Source organism: Homo sapiens, chromosome 4 (assembly GCF_000001405.40).
Source record: "Homo sapiens chromosome 4, GRCh38.p14 Primary Assembly".
NCBI lineage: Eukaryota > Metazoa > Chordata > Mammalia > Primates > Hominidae > Homo > Homo sapiens.
The window spans coordinates 60929706-60942214 of record NC_000004.12 but is presented as its reverse complement, the minus strand read 5'-3'; the positions used below and the strand labels follow the sequence as shown (position 1 = coordinate 60942214).

The 12509-nt window shown below is 33.8% G+C and overlaps 1 annotated feature.

Annotated features, from left to right (window-relative positions):
* Positions 7462-8661: an enhancer, noted in NCBI's record as "MED14-independent group 3 enhancer chr4:61799272-61800471 (GRCh37/hg19 assembly coordinates)". NCBI's record gives its function as "activates an origin of replication core promoter dependent on BRD2, BRD4, P300/CBP and CDK7 cofactors, and independent of MED14, by STARR-seq in HCT116 cells {active_cell/tissue: HCT116}" and the evidence as "EXISTENCE:reporter gene assay evidence [ECO:0000049][PMID:35650434]".

Here is a 12509-nt window from a genome sequence, read left to right as displayed (position 1 = left end):
GAAAAATAAAAGATGTATACATTTATCTTAAACAACGTCATGTTGTTTAAAATATGTATGCATTATGGAATAGCTAAATTGAGCTAATTAACATATGCATTACTTCATACAATTTTTTGTGTGTGGTAAGAACGCTTATAATCTACATTCAGCAATTTTCAAGAATACAATAGGTTATTATTAATTATAGTAACCATATTGTACAAGAGATCTCTTGAAATTATTTCTTCTATCTACCTAAAATTTTATGTCCTTTGACCAATATCTCCCTGATGCCACTTGCCCGCCACCAGATGATTTTTTTAAGCAGACATGAGGGATCATATATAAGGGAATCCTAGAGTGAATGTTAGATTCTCTGAGATAATCTCTATATTTTATTTCAATATTGAAGAGCCTGTGTTTCTAAATTTTTTAAAAAAAATTTCTACTTGAGAAAATAAATACTTAAAATATAGGTTATCATAATTTATAGAAACTAAAATAATACATATCGTGACTTTCATTCACTCTCTTTTGTCATTACAAATTTGTAAAGTTGGTATAATATGTGAAGTAATGTTGCTATGAAATCAGTCTGAGCCTGGTCCAAAAGTATAGCTTGGGTGACATTGATAAGGCAATCTTTCAAATTGCTGCAGTGAGTCTGAAGAGTTTGTTTGATGAAGATAGAGGAAATTTTGATTTTTCTCTATGTATTCCTGGATGATTTAGGAAATCACATTTCTGAGTGTAAGAAATCTCTTATGTAAAAATACTATTACCATTTTTCCAAGTTTTTTGAAAAAATAAAGATCATGTATACATTGATTACTCACAGGCTAACTTTCCCGTATAGGTATTTTCAGGTAGTTCTGTTTAATTAAAAGGACCATTTTCTTATGTAAAATCACCAACTTCTGTAATGAGGTCATCAAGGAGTACAATATGTAAGACACATAATTGTGCGTATTTTGTAAATGAAATATATTACAACTTAAATTAGAGTGAAAAGACACCCCCTACACACACTTTTTTTTTTTTGAGATGGAGTCTCACTCTGTCACCCAGGCTGAAGTGCAGTGGCACGATCTTGGCTCACTGCTACCTCCGCCTCCCGGGTTCAAGCAATTCTCCTGTCTCAGCTTCCCAAGTAGCTGGGACTACAGGTGCGCACCACCATGCCTGGATAATTTTTGTATTTTTAGTAGAGACAGGGTTTCACCATATTGGTCAGACTGGTCTCGCTTCTGACCCCAGGTGATCCACCCACCTTGGCCTCCCAAAGTCCTGGGATTACAGGCGTGAGCCACCGCGACTGCCCAAGATCCATTTTTAATAAAGAAGTCTTGAGTCTTTAACCATAGACGAGGACCAGAGAAATAAGCACATGCTGTATACAAACTGTGATTTGTATGTACAGATGGCAACATCCATACACTCACATACAGTATTGCCAATGTATAGCCAGAGAGGGCCTCTGAATATTAGTAGACTATAATATACAGTAGTAGTATACAGTGTGTGTTACAGATGATATATTATAGATGATGTAGTATACATATAATATATAGTATCTCTTGAGAGCTATTATAAATAATCTTCTTATACCTAATTTGAGTTACGTTCAGATAGACTATTTCTTCTTTCAGAGATGTTTTAAGAGAACTTCTAATCCCAAATTTTGTTTTCCTTCCAACTCCAGGACACAGGAGATAGCTGGGATGCACCTTACAATAAAATAAAACAAACAAAAAAAATTTCCCACAAAGCTAAATTTTTTCATAAACAAAGAACAAAGGAAATTAGCAGATGTAGTTGCATTTTAATTTGTTTGTCTTCTTAGACAAGTTTTTCTCTTTAAAGCAGTGAAGATAAAACTAGAGGCTTGGCACCACACACATTACAACCAATAAAAACAAAATGAGCTAACTCTCTCAAAGGGGCATTACCCTTTTTCAAATTGAGCTCTGTATAATGCTATGCTCTATGAAAATTTTAATAGTGTCACATAGTGAAGCAAGCTAAGGGACCATAAAACCCTGCACCTTGTCTGTGCTCAAACAGTAACCTAGCATTGATCTTTTTTTGTACTGATATCCTAACTGCAGGGACAATTATGAGGTTGAACTTAATTTAACATATGGACCTACCAAGGTAGAATGCCAGCCCGAATCAAATTTATATACTGCATGCATTCTAAATTAATGCATTTCACATAAGCATTTGAGCAACTTTTTACCATCTATAGTAAATGTCGTCATATATATTCTAAAATTTCAGAAGCTCGCATGATAATTACTTAGACATTGAATTATCTTTGCATTGTTGCTGCTCTTACAGATCTGTGCCCATACTTTGAGATGTATTGCATGTGGGCAGACATTTAGTTATGGATGATTTCCAGTTTTTTTTAAAGCTCATTATCAGAGTGCTCTTCATTTTATAAAAGTACACCAGGAGAAATGAAGATGCAATTTGGATGAAAAAGACCTATTCAAATAATTATTCTTACTTTGAGGTAGAAGGAAAATTAGACATTAAAAATATAGTGAAAGCTTGCCTAAAAGTTAAGGTTTTAAATTTAAACTTACCTTTGATATCAGTTTTATTTGTATTATATACATATAAGTAATACTTTATTATTTCCTTATAAATTTTAGTTTTCCAGTTTGACAAAATGAGAATAATAAATGACTATATAATGGGCATAAATAATTTAATGAGATAAATAACTACAAAAGAAATTTGAAACTTTTATTCAAAAATGAGTTTAAAAAATATTCTTTAGTAATAACTGAACTATATTAACAATTCAGGAAACGAAAACTCAGAGAGTGGCATATAAATAAAAAGATTAGAAAACTGAAACAAATACTCAATTTAGTCAAAACAGCCTATTGGTATGAATAAACAGTAGTCACAAAATATTATCAATATTTTTGACCTGGACCATGACCAGTTAATGAAGATATTACTTTACTGAGGAGAGTTATATTACTTCTCCTCTTCATCATCCAATTATTCACTTATTCATGTGGTTATTAACTCATCCATTTAAATAGCAAGTCTTTATAAAATGGTTAATATATGTAATCTACCATAGTAGTCTACAAAAAAATGGTCACATAATATTTTGTGCTTGTATCCATAAACAATGCGATGTGACATTGCAGCTCTTCTCACCATATGATGGAGTCTATTTCTCTACTCTTTGAATCTGAGCTGGCCTTGTAACTTTCTTTGGAAGAGAGAATGTGGCAGAAGCAATATTGCACCAGTTCCAAGCATAGGCCTCAAAAGATCTTACATACAAGAGCCTCCAGGGAAACCTGTCCAGCTAGCACATGAACAAGGTTGAGCTAACCTGCTGGAAGGTGAGATACATATGGCCCAGTTTATCTTGTCTCTCCAGCCAACAGTGAGCCAATACAAGCACAGCTGCATTATTGCCTGCAGACATGTGAGTAAGTCCAATTGGGATCAGGAGAACAGCCTAGCTGAGCTCAGCTCAGCTCAGCTAACCCACAGAATTGTGGGCTAAAGGTTGTTGTTTTAAGTCACTGATTTGGGGTGGTTTTTTTGCAGCAGAAGCTAACTGGTAGAGCTAATCTACTCATTTACAACATGATATCTATGTAGATCATTATATGAATTTAGATAGGATTTCTACATTGAAATATGTTTTCTTTGCACAGCTAGATGGATAAATGTAGAATGTGGCAAATAGATTTTTAGTTCACTTTCTTCTTTGGATTGAATTTAATACAGCCAAAGCTTTGCTTTCCTCCGGAATCTGTCACCATATTCTCACTTCAGGAAGGGGTTTTTCTTACATCACAGAGACAAAGTACACTAACCCACATTGAAACTGAGAGCACAACATGTGCTATTAAACAGTTCTGGAAAAAAACCCACAGCCATTGTTTTATATTTCCAGTTTCTGAGATCAAAGAATATTTATTTTTAAATGTACTCTCCTACTTTTATTCATTAATTAAGAAGAATTAAACATTCTATGTCAACTGTTTCTTTTTTTTAACAATGCAAACATATGTCAGCCTATTACTGTGGTTTATTTACTTTATTCAGTGAGATACTAAAAATTCTCTACTGTAGTCTTCTTTAAAACTACTAATTCCATTTCACATTCTGCATAATAGGAAAAAGCTTTCTATTTCTGAGGAAGTGAAATTTGAATTAATAAGGAAAGATACTAAAAGAGGAGATGAACTGTGATATGTCAAAATAAGGCCACCTAATAAATTCTCACAACCAGCCAGTGATTTTAACTGGAACTGTTTTAATTTTATTAATATTATTGCAACAATAGTCTACAGCAGAAGATAGAAAATTTTCAGGTAAAAAGTATTTTAGCTTCCTAAATATTTGAAAGATACAGTTTTCATAGCAAATACTTATTCCAAACAAGCTAAATTATAAGTAAGGAGTTGATTTCTTTTTATTATAACCAATATATCTTATGATTCATGTAGTTCTTGAATGATGATAATATTACCATGACTATTCAGTTAATAAAACAAAGTTACTTCCTTGTGAGACATGCTAAAGTTAGTATTATTTTATCCTTTAAAACGTTTTTGCTATTATTTTGCTAAACTTTTCTAAAATTTATGTAATTCTACTGTTGGCTTTTGTCTGCAGTATCCTTGACTAGTGACAGACAATATGGATATATTCTGCCTATAGTTTTCCTGTTGAAATTTTATTAAAGTAATATTCCTTTAAAATGTCTTTCAAAATGATGGTGGTAGAAGCAAATTGACGATGGTGAAATGTGGCGGCAGTTCTGTGTGTGCATAGGAATGTGCACATGCATTTATGTAATGTAGAAACAGAACAAATCTAAGTAGGAGGCATGACCTTTTCCTTTATAGAAGATATAAATGAGATTTATTGCATTTATTGATAGATGAGCTACATAATTATAGTTTAATGAATTGGGATTTTTCTAAATTTTAAATATATTTGAAATAGTCTCTAATTTTAGCTTTTTACGCAATGTCTTAGTCATCAGATCTATTTGGGATAGATAATTTATAATGTCACATCTGTTCCATGTATTCAAGTAAAAGTAGCGTCAAGGAAAAAAAAATCATTCTAATTACCAAGTTTGCTAAGACAACTTACCTTCCGATTTGGGTTTAACTTTTATGGATGTTGTGAGTCATATACCTCTTAGTTATATTTAAAAATTTTAAGAAAGATATGTAAATGCATATCATTACCTCTTTCGAGTTATATAGCAGATATTCAAAAGTTTGAATGGGTTTGAGTTTTGAGAGATTTCCTTTCATCCCAATTAAAAACATCCTGAGCATCTAAAAGACACTTATTACTTTTTTCCTTAGTTATATTATAGGGTAGGTCAAACACAGACAAAGCCATTACTTGATATAACAGTATTTGGAAATTTATGTTTAATGAGTTTTGGTACAAGGCACTAAATATTATTTCTTATTTAAGATATTATTGGCAAGAGTTCTATGGCATCAACTTTTATGTTTGAAGCAAAACGCAATTTTTGTAAATGTTGCACAAAGTTTTTTCTTTTCTTTTTAAGGTAAGGTATCTTGGAAAGAAATATTGCATTATAGTCTTGGAGCAATAGAATATCTCCACAAATAATTAAAATTCTCTTAGCTGGAAGTTAAACACAATTTGAACAAAGTTTTAAAGTCCAGGGCTAATTTATCTTGTTACTTACTCTTTAAACAGTTTTATAAACTATTACAAGTGACAATCTTTACTAGTAGCTGCTGATTTAGACATTCAAGGAACAAGTGTTCTAGCATAGAATAGTAAATATAGTATTTAATTCCGAAAAATATAGTTTCACTTTCTATATTATCCAAAACTATTCCAATTAGTAACTTGTACTTTAAAAAAGACAACTGTTTTATAAAATACACTAAAGAGATTTAAGAGAATTTAAAGGTCAAAGTTACATAATTACATTCTGCTCTTCATTCAGTGCTCTGAGTCATAAAGGCATATTCTCATCTCTTTTTTTACTCACCATTCTCAATCTTTAAAAAAAAAGAACATTTGGCTGGGCATGGTGGCTCATGCCTGTAATCCCAGCATTTTGGGAGGCCAAAGAGGGTGGATTACCAGAGGTCAGGAGTTCAAGACCAGCCTGGCCAACATGGTGAAACCCAGTCTCTACTAAAAATACAAAAATTAGCCAGGCGTGGTGGTGGGTGCCTGTAATCCCAGCTACTTGGGAGGGTGAGGCAGGAGAATTGCTTGAACCTGGAAGGTGGAGGTTGCAGTAAGCCAAGATCGTGCCACTGCACTCCAGCCTGGGTGACAAGAGTGAGATTCCATCTCAAAAAAAAAAAAAAAGTAAAGTTGAATATTTGTGAATAATGCTCTTTCAGGGTAAAAAGAAATGAATTCACAGAAACTAATAGTCCGTGGTGCAACAATTAAATGCTATGGACAGTGCTAGGCTATTTGTTTTATGTGATATTACGTTATGAGTAACATTTATGTTGTGTGTGACATGTATATGTGGTTTACCTAAAGAATAAGAGGTAAAAAGACACATATAGAGATTGGAATCACTAATTCATCTTCATTTCAAATCATTTTTCTCATTTTTATTTCTCTTTGTATTAATATCACTAAATCATTTCCATGGAAACAAAGCATTATTCAAAATTAATAACCTTGAAAAAGGGCTAATCACTGCTGCCTAAGCTTCAGATTTTATTTCTTGCAACTCTTTTTTGGTATGTGTAAATATAATGTAAGTAACTGATGGTGGCTTTGGTGAGCCCTTTTGTGATGATAAGTAACAATAATATGTAGCAATAATATTGACAATAATAATAATAGTAATAATGGTTTTAGCCAGAAAGTTTGGTCTTTGAATGAGAAAAGATTGTAACTGTAGTAAAACAATTTTGAAAAAACTCTCTGTGACACACTGCTGTTTTTCTGCTTTCTAATGTCTATTCCAAAGTCTATTTTGTAATGCCACCTGTACTCATTTGTAAATACGCAGGCTGAGATCACATGCTTTGTTGTCACAAACAAGGTAATAGCTTGCACCTGGACTACAAAAAAAAAAAATGCACTAAGAAGACCTTGTTGGAAAGGAATTCCTCGTATGGGGGGAGTGGCTTGTCTGCTTTCCCCATATCAGTCCTGTCGTTATTTATGCCTCCTCAGGGCAGGAGAGATAAATTCTCCTAGCTATCTAGCTGAGGCCTAAAGGGTAAAAAAGTTGCATTTTTTGTCTTTTTCAGTCTATCTGCTGGAATTTATAATACTCAATGCCTTGGTAACACACAAACACAACCCCACCACACACACACACACACACACACACACCCCACACACACAAAATAACTACTAAAGACCATAAAGAAACAACATGCTTGCTCAATGTGATTTAACTCAAGATCCAGGGCCTTTAGAAATATGTGTGCTGAATATGAAACCTAATCAGAAACATTTTTTCAAATGACTGTGAGTCACTGTGTGTTATTTTTGGTTGTTTTCTCCCTTGCATCTTTCTTAGTGGAAATGCAATTATCCAGGTGATTGGTCTGTAGGAGGAATGTTTTAGACAGGAATGGGTGTTTGACCAAAAATTCACAAGGGACTCGAAAGGAGGGGGAGCAAAGCCATCTCCATAATATTTTCACTTTCCAAGTTGTTGTGGAATGAACTTTCATTACTGCAACTTCTGAAGTCCCATAAGCTGACTGATCGTTGCAGTCAGCTCTGAATAGCTCAAGTGGGAGCAGTTGTTTCCCACAGATTCCCAAGCAAAATTCTGTAGTTGTGAGCTGTTCCATTATGGTACAGATGAGGAATCACAAGTGCAGGGTTTTAGCACAGAATCTATTATTCTTATAAAAAACAATGGACTCTGGGAGGCCGAGGCCGGTGGATCACAATATCAGGAGTTTTGAGACCAGTCTGTCTAATATGGTGAAATCCCGTCTCTACTAAAAATACAAAAAAAAATTAGCCGGGCGTGGTGGCGGGTGCCTGTAGTCCCAGCTACTCAGGAGGGTGGGGCAGGAGAATCCTTTGAACACAGGAAGCGGAGGTTGCAGTGAGCCGAGATCGCGCCACGTCACTCCAGCCTGGGCGACAAGAGTGAGACTGTCTCAAAAAAAAAAAAAAAAAAAAAAAAAAAAAAAAAGAAACAATGAAGGAGCAGATGAGAGCATTCCATTTTTAAACCTGGTACTTCTTGAAAACTATTAGGGTGGGGGACACCAAAGTGGGGGGCAAGCAAACTTCCCAAATGCCTTATTTTCCTTTATTAAATAGCTGATTTGGATACTAGCAATTGGAAAAAGAAATAATAAAATGAACAAAGTTGATTACACTGACTGACATCCAACTGGGGGATGGTTCTCTACAGGGAAAACAAAGGAATGGAGAAGGAAAGAAAAACAAATATTAGTTAATAAAAAATATAAAAATAACAGGAAAATATGTAAAAACATAGAAATTAGACATTAACAAGATGGAAATTGCATGAATGCTTCTAAAGTATGGTTTGGATTTTGTTTAAAAGATGAATTTTCATACCAGTTTTCTTTATAACGTTTGTAACTACAGTAAATTATAACAGAGCATGGAGTAGCATTGACTCATCCAGGCTTAAGGGTCTGATTCTGCTTTCTATTCTCTAGGCCCACATGGAGTCTACAGGTGGTACAGAATGAAGCAGGCTTAAATTACTGGTTAGAACTATCAACAGGGAGATCACATCCTCCTCACCTTATATTGCCTATTCTGAACAGAATTTTTTATAAGTTATGGCACTTAGTGAAATAGCACCTGGTAGGATGAGAACAGTTATTACATTTTCTCTTTTCTCAGCATTCAAAGATGGTCTACTATTTGCCAATGATGTACCCTGCTTGATGCCATAAGGGAGTTATTGACATTGAATTATTTTAACAAATTTCATTTTACAGTCTACAGTGTACCATTTTCATCTTATTTTAAGTAAATTGCAGGAATTGATTCAAGCTTGATATTAATCCTCAGCATGACATTGTAGTAGATGATCAATTAAATGTTTAAAATAATTACTAAGCATATCAGGACTCTTATGATGTTCATAGCATCGTATCAAATATGGGGGTATATATATAACAGTAAGAAGAAAACATCTTAAATCTCAAATGGTAATTAATGAAGTTTCCATAAGATATCCAGATTTTTAAATTATGTGTTGTGGTTTCATGTAAAGAATAATCAACTTTCAGGTTGGGTTTTAGGAACCATGGTATCGAGGAGGTAAAGCTTCAATATAAATTTGATGAATGAGTGGATAAATTCATGGTCAAGTTACCAATTATTATATCAATAAAATGAGGTTAATATCTATGGAATGTGTAATCTGTATCATAGATGTATCATATTATAATTAATACTCAGTATTGATAATAATAATTTAAAAATACCTTGAGTTGTATTATTTAGGCTGTATTATTTAGGTAACCACCAATTCCTACTATAAAATGCCAGTCCCTTCACATATTTACACTATTTGTCTGGTTGCTGAGGGCATTTGAATTTGCAAACCTACTTAAGATGGTAAAATATGAAATAAAGACATATTTGAAAACCAAATATTATAGCATGATGTCATTCATAAGCCATTTCTTTACACAAAGAGTGTTTCTATAGCATAATTGCTTGAACACCACTATTAGTTTATTTTGCCTAAGAGATATGTTTGATAATAAAAGTGTTGGTGGCCTTTTAGCTTAGAAATGCAGTCTGTTGGAATCTACCATCTAGCCTAATTAGGTCTTCAAGGACAAAACTTAAAGCCATGTATATCGTTGTTATTGATGCCTAGTAAAATATTTGGGGAGAATTTTTAATGATCCCCACTGGATGTCTTAATGATTTCCAACAACATGCTGCCACTGATAAAATTAACACAACAACTCCTATTCATTATTTCAGACTTAGGTACCTAAAGGATTCCTTACTTCTTCCTGAATTTTCCTTAGATTAATAAGATAGATGGATAATATTAAATTTCAGTAATGTGGCTTATTGGTTGTGCTGTTTTGGTCAATTTATGTAGCCTCTGTATTCATTAGTTTACTCTTTTAGGTAGAAATACTTATGAACTTTAAAGATAATTTGTGCAACATGTATGAAACATAAGAAGCATCTAAAATAGTACTATGTGCTATTTTCTAATTAGTGTGTCATATTGCACATTAATTGGAAAACTCATCAGAAGACAATGGCACATAAAGCAACCGATAAATCAAAAAACTTTGCTCTTTTGTTTTGGTATGTGTCACTTTCTTGTTTAGTTGATCTGTGCATATTTTTCTACTTAGATTTTACTTCGAGTAATATCATCATTAATTTGCCTTCCCCGAATACATGCAAACCAATGATAGGCAGGTAGTGTCCAGAGAGCCAAAAATACTAATGGGCATTGTGAAATGTTTCCACAGACACTTCACATATGGATTGCTAAGAATAAACTATATGTTCCTGTCAATCCATATTACTAAATTACACCAAGATGTTGTCATAGTATTAAACTGATCCATGTAGTCTTATACCATTTGCACCTGTATTAAGGCATTGTCCACCTGCAGTATACGATAAATCTCATTCTGTATACAATGGATGCTAAGAAAATGATAAAAATTATAAAGTAGAGAAGCAAAGTGTTGAAGCAAAAATCCCACCATCTATCCTTTGACTAGAGTAAAATTCATACATATTTTTCTCTCATTTGGTCGCTTGTTACATTTAAGAAATGTTTTGTGAGCAGTATCAAGCTCTCTACATGCATTGGTTATAGGCAAAGAGAAGTGGTCTCCATATGTATAATATCACTCAACTAAAATGTATGCTCTGATGTGAAATAAAGATAAACTTTTCAGTGTTTCACACCATTTTGAAAAGGACTATAGAACATCCTAGTTTTGACATGGCGGCAATATACTTTTTTACCACAAATGAGAATGCTTATTGCCTCCTTTTCTCTCCAACCTTGGCACAATGTGTAAAAAAAAATTGTTTCTACATTCTATTGCCATCTGTTATGTGGCATTAAGATCAACTGCCCTTTTTTTCTGTTCATGGTGCTTTGTAAGGTTTTTCTTTGGCACACAGGTCATACCATCTGATTCTGCGGCTCTGTGCCCGTGGGTGGACATCTGGAATAGTTGGCTTAAATAAGTTTGTGCTTGTTGCTAGTTCTGGTAGAGACATAGTTCTCAATGGTTATTTCTTTAGTTTATCTGTTGGAATACAATTGGTTTCATTCCAGTAGAGTATCTTCCATTGCACTTGTTTTCAAAGCCTTTCAGTCTCTTGCTCAGATTTTGATTCCTTTCCAGTTCTCACAGCTGAAGGTTAGTGATATGATTACATTTGAGTTGAATGTTTTCAGTTGTATATTTGTGCTTTTAGTTCTTTGTAGACTCTTTATAAAGAACTTAGCAAACAATTTCTTGTTTATATCGAAAATTAGTTATTCTGTGAGTCTATAACATGAAGCAGTTTAACTTCTATATTGATGTTAACTTGGGATCTGAAGGGTATTTGGCGTTGGGTGCAGTGGCTCATGCCTGTAATTTTTGGACTTTGGGAAGCGGAGGTGGCAGGATCACTTGAAACCAGGGGTTTGAGACCAGACTAGGCAACAAAGCAAGACCATCTCTCCAAAAAATATATATATTAACAAAATCAGCAAGGCATGACGGCACATGTCTGTGGTCTCAACTACTCAGAAAGCTGAGGCAGGAGGTCCGCTTGAGCCCAGGAGTTTAAGGCTGTAGTGAGCTATGATCATACCATTACATGTCAGCCTGAGCGACATAGTCAGATCCCATCTCTAAAAAAAATAAAAGAGTATTTGGTTTGGCATAATCATGACACTTAGGCCAGTTGGATTTAGTGTGAGTCTTTTGCTAAATTTAACACCTTTGAATTTTCTCTGTCGTTTACCTGAAAGGCAATTTCTGATGAAGTGTTGTTTGTTTGTACCTACCTAAATGCTCTCTCATTTATGACAACATAAAACAAGGATCCGAAAAATAAGTGAGCTAAGAGAGAGTCAGTGTAAAATAGGAAGGACATCAAGAATGAGGATAGGTCCTTGCTAGCACAGATCCAGTAATGGTGAAGTGCATTTTCAACAAACCCAAGAAAATGGAGGGTTTCTAGAAAATGGTAAGGTAATATTTTGAAATTATTATACTGAATAATGTTTCAATACTTTGTGTTTCAAAATATAGATAAATTGTCATTCCAGAATCTCAGAAATGATAAGTAAACTATTCATCAGGTATCCAAAATGAGATTTTTTTCTTTTAAATGCATTGGCTACATTTGATCATAGCTGAAACAAAAATGTAAATTTTTGGCTCAAAGACCTGACTGAATACATGGTGATTTATCAGTTGCTCTTCCCCAAATTGCTCAAAACAAAGCTTATTCTGCATAAAAGGAACAAATGTCCTCCTGTTGACATGGTACGTTAACAT